Genomic DNA, 22,481 nt, shown 5'->3' with positions numbered 1-22,481 from the left:
TTTTTTTTTTTTTTTTTTTTGAAACAGTCTCCCTCTGTTGCCCAGGCTGGAGTGCAGTGGCGCGATCTCGGCTCACTGCAAGCTCCGCCTCCCGGGTTCACGCCATTCTCCTGCCTCAGCCTCCAGAGTAGCTGGGACTACAGGCGCCCACCACCACGCCCGGCTAATTTTGTTTTTGTATTTTTAGTAGAGACGGGGTTTCACCGTGTTAGCCAGGATGGTCTCGAACTCTTGACCTCAGGTGATCCGCCCATCTCGGCCTCCCAAAGTGCTGGGATTACAGGCGTGAGCCACCGCGCCCGGCCGCGTGCCTCTTCGTTTAATGACCTGGCAGCTTGTTTCTCAGCTGCAGATTTCTTTTGTTAGTGTTTCTGCCATTGCCAGAGGCATTTCTGTTGAACCTGGCATCTGTTAGTAAACTTTCTCCAAAACAAAGCTAATTTAGGTTTTGTAGTATATGAAGCCCTTCTAGCTCTTTCCACTTTTGATTTTATTTCATCCCTAAATTGCCATCGTATTGAGGTCATTTTTAACTATTTTTTTCCCAATGATTTATTTTTCCTAGTGTATTTTTTTTTTCTCTTGGAATTTGACCTAGGGCATGTGTGCATGAGTTTTACTCGGGACACTTTCTATTAATACCCCATAACTTTTCCAATTGTGTTCTGCCCTCTTCCCATCCTCCCACTTCAACTTCTTGGTCTAAGTTGAATATGAACTTTCCTTTGCCTGTCTCTGAGATTTGGATCTCTACCTTACACTCTCTCATCACTACCATAGTAGTATATTGTGAGCTATTCTGAGTGGGATGGAAGCCCTTTCTAGGAAGTGAAAAAGAATTATCCTCAATACATAGGAACATCTCAGAAACAAGTGAGTGTCCTCAAAATTTCCATACAAAAAAATGTAGGTGTGATTATCTGGTTGAAAGAATGGAAGGAAGAGTGTGGGTATGAGGGGTTGTGTTGAAACTGTTCGTATATAAAGCAAACTTTCTACTAAGCATATATCTTTATTGAAGGGAGGAGGTGATAAAGATTATTGTGGCAATGAAAGCCACCTTCATTAACTCTTCGATCCGGCACTCCTGTGCTTTCGTTCCGGATATTAAGTGACCTGACAGAGATCCCTCCTGAGTGCTTGGCATCTCCTTTCCATTTCGATTTGTTCTGCAGAAACTCCCTTGTTTTATGACAAGATTGGGATGACACAGGTAGCTCAACAGTGGGAGTGAGAACTCGGCAAGGAACAAGAGTCATGCCTACTTCCCCAATTCCTGCAGTCCAGCTTCCTTCTTTCTTCTTCTTTCTGGGATACTCCTGACATGTAGCAGGGTAAAAAGGAAGTCACATTAATTTAAGAGTTATCGGATAATGGATAAAAAAAATTAGAAAGAATGAATAAAACCTAGTATTTGCTAGCACAAAAGGGGGACTGTAGTCAAAAATAATTTAAGTGTTCATTTTGAAATAACTAAGAGTATGATTGAATCATTTGTAACACAAAGGATAAATGCTTGAGGTGATGAATACCCTATTTACCCTGATGTGATTATTACACACTGCATGCTTGTATCAAAATATCTCTTGTATCCCATAAATATATACAACTACTATGTTTCTGCAAAAATTAGAAAAAAATTAAAAAGGAAAAAAAACGAATTGACACTTATGTTGGGATTCTGGGTATGGCATCTAGGAGTATGAGGTCTGAGACAAGTAACTGAACATCTTTGAGACTCAGATATTTTTATCTGGGAAACAGGAATAATAAAATTACCTTTTAATTTAATTGGTTAATGGGAGGGTTGAAACAGATACTGTATGTTGAAGTTATGTTTGTATTAGAAAATGTTGAACAAATGCTATTCATCCTCCATCCCTAAGGAAACAATGAAAATGATGTAACAATATAAGAAATATAAAGAGCGTTATCTTCTTTCTAGTTGAATTTAATTCATTTCCATTCAATATGTTCTTAAATTGGGTTGCCATAGCTAATGGAAACCTGGTGAATGGAGAGGGAAATCTAGGATTATTGATGGTAGTTCTTTTGCATTAACTTGGTGTACAGGTACATAGGACTGTACTTGTACTGTGGTCATAATTTAATACAAATATTTCATAACAATACAAATATCAGTTTGTAAGAAAACTGTTTTTAGAAAGTAAATCTGTGATATGATAGAGTTTTGTGTGATGTGTCTGTATTTAAGCACATGTACCCATTCAAGCAGCAATCATCTCTTCCTTTTTACCAAAATAGGGTGTGTGTTTCCTTGTTCTTCTCTATGTGAAAGACTTCTGACCGACTACTTCACAGGCATGCAGGCACGTAATGATACATGAGTACACACAGTGGTGCAAAAGGCTGTGTTTAGGCATGCAAATACTCTTAAAAAAGTGCAGAACATTAGCAACATGACCTTTCCTTACATCTGAATATCTAATTTTGAGACCTAGCTCCACTATTAATGTGCTGTATGCCCTGATAAATCACCACCCTGAGTTTGCTTTCTCAGCTGTAAAATAAGAGATTTTAATTCTTAAAATTTCCAACTTGTAGGGTTTGGGACAGATTTCACATAATATACATGAAAGAAATTTGTGGATTTGTAAATAAAAGTGCTATTCATATGCCAGTTATTATTAATTCAGATGGGAGCGTGAGTTCCTTGAGTGATGAGCCAGCCTTGCTCTCCCAGTGGCAGAGGCCATGTGGACATGAACAAGGACTCCTAGGTGGATGCACTATCGCTACTTGTTCTAGCAGCGGGAGTGGGAACAGCTTCTACCCATTGAGATTCCCCCTTCCATTTACTTTGAGATTTATATAGTAAAAGTAATGGGGAGAGAAGGAAGAATATCAGAAATGAGAAGCTTCCTTCCAAAGCTCACTAGGTCTCACATTAGTATTTTATCACACAGAGTGAAATAAGAAAAAAAAAAAAGTCAGTGTGTTAATTTTAACACATCTTAATTCAATCCTGATACACTTTTTTGTTGTCAGCTGAAATCTTTTAGGATTGCATTGTCCCCTAGAAAAGAGATAGTCACATACAAGTATATGAAAAGTGAGTCATCAGGTAAATGTGGAAAAACATCGTTCTAATGTCGTGTTATTTCTCTTTACGTGAACCTGATTACTCCATTCAATGGAAGAACCACCTCCAACCTTGTCAGATGAGACTTCGCTAATTTTTGTGCAAGAGTAAAAGTAAGCTTGAACTCAAAATGATGAGGATAATCTTAATCATAGATGATATTTACTAGAGTATGTGTGGGGGACAGAGTAATTTTACACACGCATTCAGTGACTTCAAAATGAACATGACTTTGGATGAATTTACTTTCTTCTCAAGTATAGTTTTATTTGATTGAGAAAGATATGCATTTATGAGATTTGAGGAGGATTTGCATTATTTTTATGTGTATGAATCTGGGTATGTTATTTTTGCTCAAATATATGAAAGAACACTGAGTTCTCATTATGACTATGTATGGGAAACCATGGCACTTGCACACAATCAGGGATGCCAGTTTGGCTCATTGATCTGTAAGATCCAGGTCCAGGTCAAAGATGTGATGAGGGCAACAGATGTTTGTGAGGAGTCTTCTTACATGAGGAGATGGACAAAGTCGTAGTTCTATTGGGAAAGGAGAAGTCATACACCAAGCGCTCCAGGGACAAGATACCAACCTTGTTGCTGAGAGCATTTTTGCCAGTCCTGCCAAGGGCCCCTAGTCTGTTGTTTTTACAGAACTGTCTGTGTATTGGTGATGTGTACTCAGGAGCATCATATAGTTCAGCTATATGATGGTCAGATCTAGAAGAGGGGCTATAATGTCGCCAGCATTAGGGCCCCTGTGGAGAATATATGTACCAAATGGGAAAGAATGGCACAAAAGGAGGATTTGTTCCTCCTTTCATGTCATTCTTTTTCATTTTGTATGCAGTTTCTGAGAGTCCACACTGTAACAATGAATCTCATGACGAAAGATGTTCTGGGGCTATACAGTGTAAGCACTGTGGGAAGATAGGTGCTGGCTCTCTGTAATATGCAGCACCAGGATTTGCACAACCTCACATTGTCATCACTATTGTACAGTAAACGGATAAATCCTCAAATTAGGATTTTATTAGAGTATAAATATGCCCTGGGAGGAAATCATAGCCTCGTGGAATGCTTGGGGTGAGTGCTGCTCATATCACACTGTCTATGGAATCAGAAAAGTTACCTTAACTGCCCCAAAGTGGCAATCTTTTGAATATACAAAATGAGGTGAATTTAAATTACCATACCACCCAATCCATCTAAATTAGAATCTGAAATTGGTAATGCGTCTCCCTTAAGCTTCTAATTAATTTCCATAATGTAGTTTACTCATAACACATTCTAAACAGCCAGGTATAATCTGTCTCATCCAATTTCCTTGGGGTTTTAAACATTCTATGTAAAAATATGAAATACTTATCGGTTTCCCTGGGCTTACCTTTCAATTTTCCTACTATTTATGTATTCAGAAAGTTTGATGAAGTCAGGTATAAGAGTGACACAAGACAGAGTTAAATCCAATTTCTCTCTATTCCACACAAACTGGTAGATATGGCAGCACCCAGCTAAGTGGATAGGAATTCTAGGTGATGTTCTTTTCATTAAGCAGTTATGGCTCGCTAGCATGTCTTGTCTTTTAAGGTGTATGTATTAGGCTATTCTTGCATTGCTATAAAGAAATAAAGGGATACCTGAGACTGGGTAAATTATAAAGAAAAGCATTTTAATTGGCTCAAGCCTCTGCAGGCTGTGAAAGCATGGAGCCAGCATCGGCTTGGCTTCTGAGGCAGGCCTCAGAGAGCTTTTACTCACTGTGGAAGGCAAGTAGGAACAGGCATGTCACATGGTGAGAGCAGGAGAAAGAGAGAGAACACAGGAAAGTATTACACTCTTTTAAACAACCAGATCCTGCAAGAACTCACTCATTATTGTGAGGACAACATCAAGCCATGAGAGATCTGCCTCCATGACCCCAAAACACCTCCCACGGGCCCCACCTCCAACACTGGGTACCACATTTCAACATGAAGTTTGGGGGGACAAATATCCAAACCATATCAGTGGGGTTAGAAACACATACTGATGTCTTTAAACTAGATCCTGAAGTAAGTGTTTCACCCAACCCACATGCTTGTTAGTGTGAACTCTAGTTCCATGGACTGTAGCCATAATTGTTTGGCACGTGATCATCTAGTAGAGCATGTGAATCAGAAGGATATGAAGAAAGCATGGACCATAACAGCCTCACCATCTTTGGCTGAATATTCACTGTGTGTAAGGCACTGTCCTAGCCATAGCATATCTTAGTACCATTCACAACAACTCCAAGAGGCAGGTAGTTCAGTTATTTTTATTTTATGTATGAGAACTATGAGGCTAGTTTGTTTAAATAATTTTCCCAAGGACAAGTTGCAAGATGGATAGAGAGCACAAATAATCTGATTGTATACCCATGTCCTTGGCCATCATCTGTTTTTCAGTTGTTTTTTAGTTTGTTTTAGCTTTTGTTTTTGTTTTTTGCCTCCAGCCTTTAGACATTTCATTGTTTGATCTGTTTGTCTAATAATCTGGCTACACCTCTGTCTGTCTCATCTAGACTCTTAGAGAAAAGAAACCTAGCTATTAGTAAACTGGTCATCCACGATTTCCTGGTGCAAAGAGTCTACTCAAGCATTAATCAAAAGCCGGGTAAAACAAAGCTAAACAGAACAAAAATATCAGACTGAAGTCTTATCCTTGAACCATTGATCAAAGAAGACACATTTTGTGCTTTCGTATATTTTCTTTTATCCTGAAGTTTCTTCTTCCAGGAGAAGCTTCCTGAAGAGATGTACAGATATGCAATTTAGAAAGAAGAGTAAAACATACAGTTTTCTAGGAAGAGAGCATATTTTTAGGAAAGGCTTCTCAGTTTGATATATGAAAGTCAGTTTGGATCTTGATGAATTATGCTCAACATAATTTGCAATTAAGATACTTGAAAATAATCAACTTAAATAAATCTTGTATATGAAGCAATATAATATAGTGATCAAAATCATGGAGTCTAGCAGCCCGAATTCAAATCCCAGATATGCCACTATTTGTGTGGCCTTGAGCAATTCATTTAAACTGTATAAGACCTTGTTTCCTCCTGTATAAAATGAAAATCATCATATTTCTACTTCAAAAGGCATTGAGGAATTAAACCACATGTTTAAAGTTCGTAGCAGAGTTCCCATGTAATAATGAACAATCAATAAATAATGGCCATTATTATATGGAACTTTAAGATATCTGGGGTAATGATAAATCATAGGGTCATAATTATATAGGTATTAATTATAGCCATGAGTTTGGGTTATTTCTTTAGGGCTTATCATATAGTAAAAGAAACAGAGTGGTAAGGGTAAACCAGTTGGGGTGGGAAGATGAGAAGTAAACAGCCCATGAGGAAGATAAGAGGTGACTGGAGAAAGGAAAACTAGAAGCTTAGGAAAGAGAGACTTTACAGAAAAAGGAGATTAACAGCACCAAAGGAAGTCCAGCAGTCTAGTAAGATGAGAAAAAAAAATAGTCCATTGATTTTTGGCAGTTATGTATGTTATGATAACTTGAAAACTGTGGGTAGAAATGATATTCTGAGTGTGGATGACAAGTGAAGTTATGACACTTGAGAAGGAGGAGGGTTGGCAGCTAAAGGGGCCAAAGGAAAGGTTTTGTTATTGTTGTTGTTGTTACTGTTAGTTTTGTTTTTCAGGTGGGAAAAATGCATGTGCTGAATGGCAAAGGGCCAGTACTAGTAAGAGACTGGTTTGAAGGAGAAAGTGGGTTGCAAGCCCTTGAGGAGATTGATGGGCTGCGATACAGAGCTCAGTTTCATTCACATACTTGTTTCTTGTTATTCTACAAGCGCAAGAATTTACTTCTTATCAGACACCAAAACCTGTGCTGGAGACATTGTGGCAAACCAGACATATGTTACTCTTATTGTCATGGAGCTTCTACTTTATATTCTGGATTTTATTCTAAGTCCAATGAGAAGAATTTACTGAAGAGTTTTAAGCAGGGAAATCGTATGGTTGTTATACAGCATTACTGCAGTAATAGCTAGTGCTACATAGAAATAAAGTAATATGTTAAAATGCAACATGGGAGCATTCAGAAACACATAAAAATGGACTGAGGTGGAACTCATGGTTTAGCAGGGAAAACCCGGCACCTTTGTCCTAGCTCTTTCCTCAGCCTGGGTCCCCCTTTCCCTCAATATTTGTAAGGCTAGATCCTTTTTGTAATTTATTTCAGGTTAAACTTCACTCCCTCAGAAAAGCCTTTCCTAACCTTGAGTCTAAAGTAGCTTGCAAGTTGCTCTCTACTACACGCTTTAATTCTTTAGATATAACTGATACAATCTTATGATTTTTATTTAAATATTTATTATGTATTTATTTTTATCATCTCTCTTTTTCTGTTAGATTCTAAGTTCCATGAAAGCAGGCATTGTGTGAATTTCTCCTGCATCTGGAACTGGCCTAGCACACCAAGTAAGTGCTTGATAAATGAATATTATGAATAAACACATAAAAGCATAATATGATGTAGCTGCAGAAACAGAGGCAAGCACCAAACTCTACGACAATACAGAGTAAGAAAAAGCACAGAGACTAAGTGTCATTTATGTATCAACAGAGAAGTATACCAGGGAACATTCTATCTCAGAGAAACTAGACTTGTGATCAATTAATAGCTTGTCAAACTGCCAGTAAATAATGAATAATGAAGGTGGGATTTGAGCTCAAATTGAAGTAGGTTCAGATTCCATACACTTTACACTCTTCCACATTGCCTTTCCTTTCCTTTCTCCCATGGACAGGGTAGTTTTTATTAGCTTCCTACAGACAAAAGATACAACCCCCCTAGCTTAAATCAGGAAGAATTAGATATCCTGAACAGACCAATAACAAGCAGCAAGATTGAAATAGTAATTTAAAAATTATCAACAAAAAAAAGTCCAGGACTAGACAGATTCACAGCAGAATTCTAACAGACATTCAAAGAAGAATTGGTACCAATCATATTGACACTATTTCACCAGATAGAGAAAGGGGGAACCCTCCCTAAATCATTCTATGAAACCAGTATTGCCCTAATACCAAAACCAGGAAAGGACATAACCAGAAAAGAAAACTACAGACCAATATCCCTGATGAACATAGATGCTAAAATCCTTAACAAAATACTAGCTAACTGAATCCAATAACACTTCAAAAAGATAATCCACCACGATCAAGTGGGTTTCATACCACAGATGCAGGTATGGTTTAAGATACGCAAGTCAATAAATGTGATACACCACATAAAAAGAATTAAAAACAAAAACTTACATGATCATCTCAATTGATGCAGAAAAAGCATTTGACAAAATCCAGCATTGCTTTATGATTAAAACTCATAGCAAAATTGGCATAAAAGGGACATACCTCAATGTAATAAAGGCCATCTATGAAAAACCCATAGCCAACGTAATACTGAAGGGGGAAAAGTTGAAAGCATTCCCTCAGACAACTGGAGCAAGACAACGATGCCCACTCTCACCACTCCTCTTCAGCATAGTACTGGGAGTCCTAGCCAGAGCAATTGGACAAGAGAAAGAAATAAAGGGGGTCTAGATCCGTAAAGAGGAAGTCAAACTGTTGCTGTTTGCTGATGATACGACTGTTTACTTAGAAAACCCTAAACTCCTCCAGAAAGCTCCTAGAACTGATAAAAGGATTCAGCGAAGTTTCTGGATAAAAAATTAAGGTACACAAATTAGTAGCTCTTTTATACACCAACAGTGACCAGCTGAGAATCAAATCAAGAACTCAACCTCTTTTACAACAGCTGCAAAAAAATAAAATAAAATAAAATACTTAGGAATATACCTAACCAAGGAGGTGAAAGACATCTACAAGGAAAACTACAAAACACTGCTGAAAGAAATCATAGACGACACAAACAAATGGAAACACATCCTATGTTCATGGATGAGTAGAATCAATATTGTGAAAATGACCATACTGCCAAAAGCAATCTACAAATTCAACACAATTCCCATTAAAATACCAATGTCATTCTTCACAGAATTAGAGAAAAACATTCTAAAATTCACATGGGACCAAAAAAGAGCCCACATAGCCAAAGCAAGACTAAGCAAAAAGAACACATCTGGAGGCATCACATTACCTGATTTCAAAATGCACTATAAAGCCATAGTCACCAAAGCAGCATGGTATGGGTATAAAAATAGCTACATAGACAAGGGAACAGAATAAAGAACCCAGAGGTAAACTCAAATACTTACAGCCAACTAATCTTTGACAAAACGAACAAAAACATAAAAAGTATATGTTGGAACTTAATCCTCAATGCAACAGTGTTGGGAGATGGACCCGAATAAGAAGTGATTAGTTCATAAGGGCTCTGCCCTCATAAAAGGATTAGTGCTTCTATTGCAGGAGTGGGTTTGTTATCATGGGAGAGGGCTTATCTATAAAAGGATGAGTTTGGCCCTCTTTTTGCTTGTGTGCTCTCTCTCTCTCCCTCTTTCTCTCTCTCTCACACACACACCCCTTCTGTTTGCCCTTCTACCGTGGGATAAAAGAGAAAAAAAGCCCTCTCCAGACACCAGTGCCTTGATCTTGGAGTTCCCAACTTCCAGAAATGTGAGCTAATAAATTTCTGTTTATTATAAATTACTCACTATGTGGTATTCCACTGTAGCAAGACAAAACACAAAAATGCTAAATGTTACACTTTCCACCTTCCAAGCCTCCTTTTGTTATTCCCAACCCCTCATCAATGGATTTTATATTTTGAAAGATTTCGTTCAAGTTGCATTTATTTAGTATAATTTCCTCACTTTTTTAAAAAAAGTGTGTGTACATGCCAATAAGAGCCCATCCTCAGTCTGAGATAAACAGTGGTATGTGTGACTTGAACTATAGCAGAGCATTGGCCTCTGAAGGTTTAAACACTCATGGAGGTACATGACACAGTGACAGTCATTTCACCCAGATTTGTATTTGCTTTGAATGTAATGGAGTTGATGAATGAGCTGGTAGGGAGCCTGGGTGTCTGCCCAGTTCTCATCTCCAGGCAGCAATGTTGAACTATACTCTTCACTAACCATTTGATGACTCTTATAAAGGGATTAAAAACTTTATTTTTTCACACATTCATTGTATTTGAGGTTAGCATTATTATCCTGAGTATGCTGTGGCAATATGATTTATAGGTTTTTGGGTGCGTGTGTACGTATGAGAACTTATGTTAATAGCTATAGTCTGGAGCTAAAAAAATAAGGATATGTAGGGGTGCCGTTCATTTTTAGATATAATATATATCACTTCAGGAGATATTATATACTATGATGTATCCATGAAGTGAAGTTTCTGGGATCACCTTGGGATTATCAAAGGTGTGATATAACTTTAGCCAAAGCAAAGAAAGTTGCCATTTTAGTTAGCCTATACAGTCTCATTATGTGCAAATACAAATTATAGCTAATTAAATTTCTGAAATATTTAAAGTAACTTCAGATTTCTATTAATATCTTTGGGAACCCTTAGGTAGCAAAGAATTTCAGGTTGGAAACAACTGCCCTCATAGGGATCTAATTAATGTTTTTTGAGTTAATGAAATGATAACGTTTTGTCTCTGAAAAGTTCAACCACTTCCTCATTTAGTACAAATTTGAGAGTTCAGTAGAAACACAGTAAACGAGAAAAATATAAATTTTGGCATGATAAAATGAAATATGGGCACATGAAGATGTACTATTTATATGAGAGAAACGAAGAAAGAAAAAAGAAAGAAAGAAAGAAAGAAGGAAGGAAAGAGAAAGAAAGAAAGAAAGAAAGAAGGAAAGGGAGGAAGGGAGGAAAAAGGAAGGAAGGGAGGGAGGGAGGAAGGGAGGGAGGGAGGAAGGGAGGGAGGGAGGAAGGGAGGGAGGGAGGAAGGGAGTTATCTGGAGGTTGAAAATCTGTTAGTACAATAAGGTCTGTCTTCAGGGAAAATTTTGAAATTGCCATAGTGTAACTACAAAGGAAGACTAAGAAAGCTAAGACCATAATTTCTTATGAAAATTCCAACCTGAATAAAGGAAACCATTGCTAATTCATATCTGCAAGTCACCTTATCTAATTCCCATTTTTGGTAGGTACTTGCAACGCATAAGATGCCTGCCAAAAATGCTGGCTGAGAGGAAACAATATTCATGCCAGTGTTGAAATACCTTGCCAGATTTCAGAGGTAATTTTAGGTCACCAGTCCCATGCCAAATACCTTCCCATTTTAGAAAGACTACTAATATATTAGGATGGGGAACATCAGAGAAGGGATTTACTAAGACTCCATCTCTATTAAAGCTCTTCCAATAGACATTACTTCAAAGTTAGATTTCTTTCTGTGTTTCTCCAAAAGGCTGCAATAAAAATCTGACTGCTAATGACAACTCATTTAGCAGGATGACAGTTGCTTGATGCTCACAGGGAATGAAGCAAGCATTGCCAGATGTGTGCCATACCCTCTTTTAACAGCCTCATTGCAGAGTATCTTCACTATAATGACCATTAGAATAAACCATATTCTATTAATGAAGAAAAATCTTACACTATCAATTAATAGCCTTTAAAAAATGTGAGAGAGCAGAAGGAAACTCTGAGAAATAGTAGAATGCTTTATTCTTTGTACTAGATGAATTGATTGCTACAGCATTTAAATCTATGGGGTAACAACGCAGTAGGGTTTTTGGACCACAGATATATCAACATAAATCCTTATTTACATTCATTTAAGAATTCATAGCACCATTTGTTATGAGGAATATGGCTTTTTTAGGCTGCCCCTCTGTGTGCAAGCACACTCTCACACACAATAGCATTTGTATGATTTAAAATGTAGATAGCAGTAAGTCTGGATTCTGAATAGTTTTATGTAAAATTTAATAAAAATGCAAGAAAGGATTCTTTTTTATTATACTTTAAGTTCTAGGATACATGTGCAGAACGTGCAGGTTTGTTACATAGGCATACATGTTGCCATGGTGGTTTGCTGCACTCATCAACCCGACATCTACATTAGGTATTTCTTCTAACGCTATCCCTTCACTAGTCCCCAGCCCCCGACAGACCTGGGTTTGTGATGTTTCCCTCCCTGTACCCATATGTTGTCATTGTTCAACTCCCACTTATGAATGAGAACATGTGATGTTTGGTTTTCTGATCCTGTGTTATTTTGCTGAGAATGAGGGTTTCCAGGTTCATCCATGTCCCTGCAAAGGACATGGACTCATTCTTTTTTATGGCTGTGTAGTATTCCGTGGTGTGTATGTGCCACATTTTCTTTATCCAGTCTAACGTTAATGGGCATTTGGGTTGGTTCCAAGTCTTTGTTATTATGAATGGTGCTGCAGTAAACATATGTGTGCATGTGTCTTTACAGTAGAATGATTTATAATCCTTTGGGTATATACCCAATAATAGGTTTGCTGGGTCAAATGGTATTTCTAGTTCTAGATCCTTGAGGAATTGCCACACTGTCTTCCACAATGGTTGAACTAATTTATACTCTGACCAACAGTGTAAAAGTGTTAATATTTCTCCACATCCTCCCCAGCATCTGTTGTTTCCTGACTTTTTAATGATCACCATTCTAACCGGGGTAAGATGGTATCTCATTGTGGTTTTGATTTGCATTTCTCTAATGACTAGTGATGATTAGCTTTTTTTTTTCATGTTTGTTGGCCGCATAAATCTCTTCCTTTAAAAAGTGTCTGTTCATATCCTTTGCCCAGTTTTTGATGGAGTTTTTTTTTTCTTGTAAATTCGTTTAAGCTCCTTGTAGATTCTGGATATTAGCCCTTTGTCAGATGGATAGATTGCAAAAATTTTCTCCCATTCTGTAAGTTGCCTGTTCACTCTGATGACGGTTTCTTTTGCTGTGCAGAAGCTCTTTAGATTAATTAGTTCCCATTTGTCAATTTTGGCTTTTGTTGTAATTGCTTTTGGCATTTTAGTCATGAAGTCTTTGCCCATAACTATGTCCTGAATGGTATTGCCTATGTTTCCTTCTAGGGTTTTTTTATGGTTTTAGATCTTATGTTTAAATCTTTACTTGATAATGAGTTGATTTTTGTATAAGGTGTAAGTAAGGAGTCTAGTTTCAGTTTTCTGCATATGGCTAGCCAGTTTTCCCAACACCATTTATTAAATTGGGAATCCTTTCCCCATTTCTTGTTTTGTCAGGTTTTTCAAAGATCAGATGGTTGTAGACGTGTGGTGTTATTTCTGAGAACTCTGTTTTGTTCCATTGGTCTACTATGTGTCTGTTTTAGTACCAGTATCATGCTGTTTTGATTACTGTAGCCTTGTAGCATAGTTTGAAGTCAGGTAGTGTGATGCCTCCAGCTTTGTTCTTTTTGCGTAGGATTGTCTTTTTTGGTTCCATATGAAGTTTAAAGTAGTTTTTTTCTATTTCTGTAAAGAAAGTCAATGGTAGCTTGATGGGAATAGCATTGAATCTATAAATTACTTTGGGTAGTATGGCCATTTTCACAATATTGATTCTTCCTATCCATAAGCATGGATAGGAAGAAATGAGTTTTCCATTTGTTTGTGTCCTCTCTTATTTCCTTGAGCAGTGTTTTGTAGTTCTCCCTGAAGAGGTCCTTCACATCCCTTGAAAGTTGTGTTCCTAGGTATTTTATTTTCTTTGTAGCAATTGTGAATTGGAATTTGCTCATGATTTGGTTTTCTGTTTGTCTATTATTGGTGTATAGGAAAGCTTGTGAATTTTGCACATTGATTTTGGATCCTGAGACGTTGCTGAAATTGCTTATCAGTTTAAGGAGTTTTTGAGCTGAGACGATGGGGTTCTCTAAATATACAATCATGTCATCTGCAAACAGAGATAATTCGACTTCCTCTCTTCCTATCTGAATACCCTTTATTTCTTTCTCTTGCCTGATTGCCCTGGCCAGAACTTCCAATACTATGTTAAATAGGAGTGGTGAAAGAGGGCATCCCTGTCTTGTGCTGGTTTTCAAAGGGAATGCTTCCAGGTTTTGTCTATTCAGTATGATATTGGCTGTAGGTTTGTCATAAATAGCTCTTATTATTTTGAGATAATACCATCAATACCTACTTTATTGAGTGTTTTTAGCATGAAGGGATGTTGAATTCTATGGAAGGCCTTTTCTGCATCTATTGAGGTAATCATGTGTTTTTTGTCCTTGGTTCTGTTTATGTGGTGGATTACATTTGTTAATTTGTGTATGTTGAAACAGACTTGCATCCCAGAGATGAAGCCGACTGAATCGTGGTGGATAAGCTTTTTGATGTGCTGCTGGATTTGGGTTGCCAGTATTTTATGGAGGATTTTCTCATCGATGTTCATCAGGGATATTGGCCTGAAATTTTCTTTTTTTGTTGTGTCTTTGCCAGGTTTTGGTATCAGGATGATACTAGCCTCTTAAAATGAATTAGGGAGGAGTCCCGTTTTTCTATTGTTTGGAATAATTTCAGAAGGAATGGAACCAACTCCTCTTTGTAACTCTGGTAGAATTCGGCTGTGAATCTGCCTGGTCTTGGGCTTTTTTCAGTTGGTAAGCTATTAATTTCTGCCACAATTTCAGAACTGGCTATTGATCTATTTGGGGATTTGACCTCTTCCTGGTTTAGTCTTATGAGGGTGTATGTGTCCAGGAATTTATCCATTTCTTCTAGATTTTCTAGTTTTTTTGCTTAGAGGTGTTTATAGCATTCTCTAATGGTAGTCTGTATTTCTCTGGGATCAGTGTTTATATCCCCTTTATCATTTTTTATTGTGTCTATTAGATTCTTCTCTCTTTTCTTCTTTATTAGTCTGGCTAGTGGTCTATCTATTTTGTTAATCTTTTCAAAAAACCAGCTCCTGAATGCATTGATTCTTTGAAGTGTTTTTCATGTCTCTATCTCCTTCAGTTCTGCTCTGATATTAGTTATTTCTGGCCTTCTGCTAGCTTTTGAATTTATTTGCTCTTGGCTTCTCTATCTCTTTCTATTGTGATGTTATGGTGTTGATTTTAGATCTTTCCTGCTTTCTGATGTGGGCATTTAGTGCTATAAATTTTCCACTAAACTCTGCTTTAGCTGTGCCCCATAGATTCTGGTATGTTGTGTCTTTGTTCTCACTCGTTTCAAAAAATTTATTTATTTCTGCCTTAATTTTGTTATTTATGCAGTAGTCATTCAGGAGCAGGTTGTTCAGTTTCCACGTAGTTGTGCAGTTTTGAGTGAGTTTCTCAATCCTGAGTTCTAATTTGATTGCACTGTGGTCTGACAGACTCTTTGTTATGACTTCCATTCTTCTGCATTTGCTGAGGATTGTTTTACATCCAATAATGATGTTGATTTTAGAATGAATGCTATGTGGTTCTGAGAAGAATGTATATTATGTTGATTTAGTGTGGAGAGGTCTGTAGATGTCTATGAGGTCTGCTTGGTCCAGAGCTGAGTTCAAGTCCTGAATATCCTTGTTAATTTTCTGTCTCATTGATCTGACTAATATTGACTGTGGGGTGTTAAAGTCTCCCAGTATTAATATGTGGGAGTTTAAGTCTCTTAATAGGTCTCTAAAAAACTGCTTTATGAATCTGGTTGCTCCTGTATTGAGTGTGTATATATTTAGGATAGTTAGCTCTTCTTGTTGCATTGATCCCTTTACCATTATTTAATGTCCTTCTTCGTCTTTTTTTCTTTGTTGGTTTAAAGTCTGTTTTATCAGAGACTAAGATTGCAACCCTTGCTCTTTTTTTTTTTTTTTTTTTTTTTTTTGCTTTTGATTTGCTTGGTAAATCTTCCTCCACCCCTTTATTTGGAGCCTATATGTGTCTTTGCATGTGAGATGGGTCTCCTGAATATAGCACACCGATGGGTCTTGACTCTTTATCCAATTTGCCAGTCTGTGCCTTTTAATTGGGGAATTTAGTCCATTTACACTTAAGGTTAATATTGTTATGTGTGAATTTGATCCTTTCATTATGATTCTAGCTAGTTACTTTGTCCATTAGTTGATGCAGTTTCTTCATAGTGTTGATGGCCTTTACATTTTGGTTTGTTTTTGCAGTGGCTGGTACCGGTTTTTCCTTTCCATATTTAGTGCTTCCTTCAGGAGCTCTTGTAAGGCAGGTCTGGTGGTGACAAAATCCCTCAACATTTGCTTGTCTGTAAAGGATTTTATTTCTCCTTCACTTATGAAGCTTAGTTTGGCTGCATATGAAATTCTGGGTTGAAGATTCTTTTCTTAAGAATGTTGAATATTGGCCCCCACTCTCTTCTGGCTTGTAGGGTTTCTGCAGAGAGATCTGCTGTTAGTCTGATGGGTTTCCCTTTGTCAGTAACACAACCTTTCTCTCTGGCTTCCCTTAATATTTTTTCCCTCATTTCAATCTTGGTGAATCTGACCATTGTGTGCCTTGGGGTTGCTCTTCTCATGGAGTATCTTTGTGATGTTCTCTGTATTTCCTGAATTTGAATGTTGGTCTGTCTTGCTAGGTTGGGGAAGTTCTCCTGGATTATATCCTGAATAGTGTTTTCCAACTTGATTCCATTCTCTCTGTCACTTTCAGGTACACCAATCAAATGTAGGTTTGGTCTTTTCACATAGTCCCATATTTCTTGGAGGCTTTGTTCATTCCTTTTCATTCTTTTTTTCTCTAATCTTGTCTTCATGCTTTATTTCATTAAGTTGATCTTCAACCTCTGATATCCTTTCTTCTGCTTGATCAGTTCAGCTACTGATACTTGTGTATGCTTCATAAAATTCTCATGTTGTGTTTTTCAGCTCCATCGTGTAATTTATGTTCTTTTCTAAACTGGTTATTCTAGTTAGCAATTTCTCTAACCTTTTTTCAATATTCTTGGCTTCCTTGCATTGGGTTACAACATGCTCCTTTAGCTCAGAGAAGTTTCTTATTACCCACCTTCTGAAGCCTACTTCTGTCAATTCATCAAACTCATTCTCTGTCCACTTTTGTTTCCTTGCTGGTGAGAAGTTGTGATCCTTTGGAGGAGAAGAGTCATGCTGGTTTTTGGAATTTTCACCCTTTTTGAGCTGGTTTTTCCTCATCTTCATGGATTTATCTACCTTTTGTCTTTGCTGTTGGCGACCTTCAGATGGAGTTTTTGCATGGTCGTCCTTTTTGTTGATGTTGATGCTAATGCTTTCTCCTTTTTAGTTTTCCTTTTAACAGTCAGGCCTCTCTTCTGCAGGTCTGCTGAAATTTGCTGGAGGTACACTCCAGACCCTGTTTGCCTGAGTATCACCAGCAGAGGCTGCTGAACAGCAAAGATTGCTGCCTGCTCCTTCCTCTGGAAGCTTTGTCCCAGAGGGGCACCCACCAGATGCCAGCTGGAGCTCTCCTGTATGAGGTGTCTGTCGATCCCTGCTGGGAGGTGTCTCACAGTCAGGAGGCACGGGGGTCAGAGACCCACTTGAGGAGGCAGTCTGTCCCTTAGCAGAGCTCGAACACTATGCTGGGAGATCTGCTGCTCTGTTCAGAGCCAGCAGGCAGGAACATTTAAGTCTGCTGAAGCTGCACCCACAGCTGCCCCTTTCCTCAGGTGCTCTGTCTGAGGGAGATGGGAGTTTTATCTATAAATAACCTGGCTGGGGCTGCTGCCTTTCTTTCAGAGATGGCCTTCCCAGAGAGGAGGACTCTAGAGAGGCAGTCTAGCTACAGAGGCTTTGTGGTGCTGCAGTGGGCTCTGCCCAATCCAAACTTCCTGGCAGCTTTCTTTGCACCCTGAGGGGAAACAACCTACTCAAGCCTCAGTAATGGCAGACACCCATCCCCCCACCAAGGTCGAGCATCCCACATCGACTTCAGACTGATGTGCTGGCAGCGAGAATTTCAAGCCTGTGGATCTTAGCTTGCTGGGCTCCATGGGGGTGGGATCCACTGAGCAAGACCTCTTGGCTCCCTGACTTCAGTCCCCTTTCCAGGGAGTGAAGGGTTCTGTCTTGCTGGCATTCCAGGTGCCACTGGGGTCCAAAAAAACTCCTGCACTAGCTTAGTGTCTGCCCAAATGGCCACCCAGTTTTGTGCTTGAAACCCAGGGCCCATGTGGTGTAGGCACCCAACGGAATCGTCTGGTCTGTGGGTTGCAAAGACCATGGGAAAAGCATAGTATCTGGGCCAGATAGCCATGTCCCTTATGGCAGGGTCCCTCAAGGCTTCCCTTGACTAGGGGAGGGAGTTCCCTGATCCCTTGTGCTTCCCAGGTGAGGCAATGCCCCACCATGCTTCTGCTTGCCCTCCATGGGCTGAACCCACTGTCTAACCAGTCCCAGTGAGATGAACCAGGTACTTTAGTTGGAAATGCAGAAATCACCCACCTTCTGCATTGATCTTACTGAGAGCTGCAGACTGCAGCTGTTCCTATTCGGCCATCTTGCCCAGGAATCCAAAAATGGATTCTATAATATCATTTTGGCTACCACATTTGATTTTTTTTATGAGACTTTGGATACTAGTTTGATTTGCTATTTTTTTTTTAAACTCATCAAAACAGGACTGGAGATGAAAGGATAGCGATTTCTGACATTTCTGCTGCTCAGCTTGTTACAGTGATTGTGCTCTGTAAACAGAGCTCCATTTTGTTTAGCTGCTTGTGTGATAACTATTACAAGCCTTTTACAAAATCTTAAAAGAAATATTTTCATTCAAATTTTATATTTTAGGGAATAGTAAATTGTTTAGGAATTTACATTTTGGAGGAACAAAATTGCTTCTTTTTTTTCTAAGACCTAGGATTCCTTTTTGTAGCAATGCACAGTTGGCTACATGAGCATAAACAAATGTGAAACCACGTACTGAGAGACCCTACATTAAGAAAGCAAAATAAATTCAATACATAGACAGGAAATATCATTCTATGTCATTCTCTGAATGAAAGGATAATATGTTTCCTTGTGCCAGAATTGACGTTTGTTTTTTTTTTAAAGAAAAGCCTAGACAGCTTCTTTCAGTTCTTAATAACTTCTCTTGCTCTGAGCCCTTATTTATAAGCCTGAGAAAGTTATGTGTTTTTCTGCCTTACACTGCCTCATTCTTATTTACTCTAGGCCAAGATGCTTTTAGAAAATGTTTAAAACCAATGATTTGATATGACCCCTTACTAACACTATAACATCCTCCAAAAAAACCTCTTCCTGCTTTTTATGTCCTGGTGGGAGATATTTTCTGGGCTTATTTTGAGGACAGATTCATTCCTTGATTAAGAATGAAAACCTGGAGGGAACAAAGTCAATAAAGTGTGGCTACAGTATCTTTTAAATAAAGATAACTTTCCCTGAGTCTGCTGGCAGGAAGTAATCTGACTCCTTCTTTGAGCTTAAGCCTGTTCATCATTTTATCTCTTGTTTTCATAACACTTCTTTTTTTTTTTTTTTTTGAGACGGAGTTTCGCTCTTGTTGCCCAGGCTGGAGTGCAATGGCGTGATCTCGGCTCGCTGCAACCTCCGCCTCCCAGGTTCAAGCACTTCTCCTGCCTCAGCCTCCTGAGTAGCTGGGTTTACAGGCATGCACCACCACGCCCAGCTAATTTTGTATTTTTAGTAGAGACAGGGTTTCTCCATGTTGAGGCTGGTCTCTAACTCCTGACCTCAGGTGATCCACCCACCTTGGCCTCCCAAAATGCTGGGATTACAGGCGTGAGCCACTGCGCCCGGTCAACACTTCTTTTAAGAAAAAGTTTTATTTTGTTTTCTATTGACATATAATAATTGTATATATTTAGGGGATACAATGTGATGTTTTAATACAAGTATATATACATTGTGGAATAATCAAATCAGGATAATTAACATATTCATTACCACAAATATTGATCATTGCTTTGTGGTGAGAACATTTAAAATTCTTTTAGCTATTTTGAAATATACAATACATTACTATTAACTGCACTTACCATGCTGTCCAATAGGTCACCAGAACTTATTCCTCCCTGCCTAGCTGAAACTTTGTACCCTTTGATTATTAACATCTATTTTCCTACTCAACATCCACTCCCCTGACCCTAGCATGAAAACAGTTATGCGGTGATATATTATTGTGATTTCAATTTGCATTTCTCTGATTAGACTTGTTGAGCATTTTGTTATATATCTGTTGGACATTTTCATGTCTTCTTTTGAGAAATGTCTTTTCAAGTACTTTGCACATTTTTTAATATGGTTATTATTTTCTTGTTGCTGAGTACTCTGAGTTCTTTGTACATTTTGGATATCAGCCCTTAATCCAATGTATGACTTACAAATATTTCTCTCAGTCTGTGGATTATCCCTTTACTCTGTTAATTGTTTGCTTTGGTACGCAGAAGTTTTTAAATTTGATGCAATCCTACTAGTTTATTTTTGCTTTTGTTGCCTGTGTTTTGGGGAACATCACCAAGAAATTGCAGCCCAGACCAATGTCATAGAGCTTTTCCCCTATGTTTTCTCCTAGTAGTTTAACTATTTCAGTGCTTATGTTTAAGTGATTTTGAGTCTATTTTTTTTTTAAGCAGTGAGATAAGGGTCTGTATTTATTCTTCTGTTATGTGGATATTCAGTGGAATTTTTTTTCTGGGCTCTCTGTTGCATTCCATTGATCCATGTGTCTGTTTTTATGCCAGTGCCATGCTTTTTGGTTACTACAGCTTTGTAATATATTTTGAAATCCAGTAGTCTGATGACTCCAACTTTCTTCTTTTAGCTTAAGATGGCTTTGCTATTCAGGAATTTTTTGGTTCCATATGAGTTTTAGGATTGTTTTTTCTATTTCTGTGAAGAATGACATTAAAATTTTGACAGGGATTGCATTGGATGTATACACTGCTTATGGCAGTATGACTATTTTAACAATATTAATTCTTTCAATCTATGAACATAGAATATCTTTCCATTTATTTGTATCTTTTTCAATTTCTTTTATCAATGTTTTATAGTTTTCTGTATATGAATTTTCCACCTCTTTAAAATACTTACTCCTAAGTATTTTATTCTTGATGCTATTGTAAATGTATTGTAAATGAGATTGTTTTCTTAATTTCTTTTTCAGACAGTCTGTTTGTATAGAAAAGCTACTTATTTTTATAGGTTGATTTCATATCCTGCAACTTTACCAAATTCCTTTATCAGTTCTCTCAGTTTTTTTGTAGAATCATTAGAATTTTCTCTATATAAGATCATGTCATCAACAAACAGAGACAATTTCATTTCTTCCTATGTAGACGTAATTTATTTTCTTGGCCAATTGCTCTGATTAGGACTTCTAATACTATATTGAATAGAAGCGGTGGAAGTGGGTGTTTGTTTCTTATTCATGATCTCAGAGAAGAAATCTTCAACTTTTCAACATTGAGTGTGATGTTAGATGTGGATTTGTCATATATAGCCTTTATTGTGTTGAGAGGAATTTTTCTATACCTAATTTATTGAGAGTTTTTATAATAAAATGTTGAATTTTGTCAAATTATTCTTTCTGCATCTATTGAGATGATCTTGTGGTTTTTTGCATCTATCTTCATCAAGGATATCGGCTTGTAGTTTTTATTTTTATTTTTTGTATTCTTTTCTGAGTTAAGTGTCAGGGTAATAATGATTTGCAAAATAAGTTTGGAAGTACTTTCTCTTCTGCAATGTTTTGGAAGAGGTTAAGAAGGATTAGTACTTGTTCTTTAAATATTTGTTACAATTCAGTCATGAAGCCATCTGGTCTTGGGCTTTTCTTTGATGAAAGAGTTTTTATTACAGATTCAATATTCTTACTGCTATTGATCTGTTCAGATTTTGGATTTCTTCATAAATAAGTCTTAATAGGTTATATATTTCTAGGAGTTTGTCCACTTATAGATTGTCTGATTTTTGGCATATAGTTGTTCATAGTAGTTGCTTATTACCCTTTGTATTTTTTTATCAGTTGTAATGTCTTCTTTTTCATTTGTGATTTTATCTACTTGAGTCTTGCTTCTTTTTTTGTCTAGCTGTTTGTCAAGTTTGTTTAGCTTTTCAAGAAACAACTTTTGATTTCATTGATGTTATATATTGTTTTTCTAGTCTCTTACTTCAGTTCTTTCTGCTCCCAACGTCGTTATTTCCTTTCTTCTGATATCTTTGGGTTTAGTTTTTTCTTCTTTATCTGGTTTCTTAAGGTGTAACATGAAGTTGTTTATTTGATTTTTTTTTGGATGTAGGTGTTATTGCTGTAAACTTTCCCCTTAAGTCTGCTTTTGCTATATACCATAAGTTTTAATATGCTGTATGTTCATATTTGTTTGTCTCAACCTGTTTTTAAATTTTCCTTTTAATTTATTCTTTTATCCCATAATTGTTCAGAAGCATATTATTTAATTTCTAATATTTGATAATCTTCCATGATTCTTTC

The 22,481-nt window shown here is 37.5% G+C and overlaps 1 long non-coding RNA gene across 3 annotated transcripts in view; it reads left to right on the top strand.

Moving 5' to 3' along the window:
- The window catches only part of LOC105374235 (uncharacterized), a 221,596-nt gene that overhangs the window by 5,965 nt on the left and 193,150 nt on the right, over positions 1-22,481 (top strand). For all 3 annotated transcript variants that reach the window (NR_188692.1, NR_188690.1, NR_188691.1), the window contains exon 2: positions 7,510-7,578. This is a non-coding gene — a long non-coding RNA (uncharacterized LOC105374235). The remainder of the gene's footprint in view (positions 1-7,509; positions 7,579-22,481) is intronic.

Source organism: Homo sapiens, chromosome 3 (assembly GCF_000001405.40).
Source record: "Homo sapiens chromosome 3, GRCh38.p14 Primary Assembly".
Classification (NCBI taxonomy): Eukaryota; Metazoa; Chordata; class Mammalia; order Primates; family Hominidae; genus Homo; species Homo sapiens.
The sequence above is the reverse complement of the archived record's forward strand: the minus strand, read 5'-3'. Positions and strand labels throughout refer to the sequence as shown.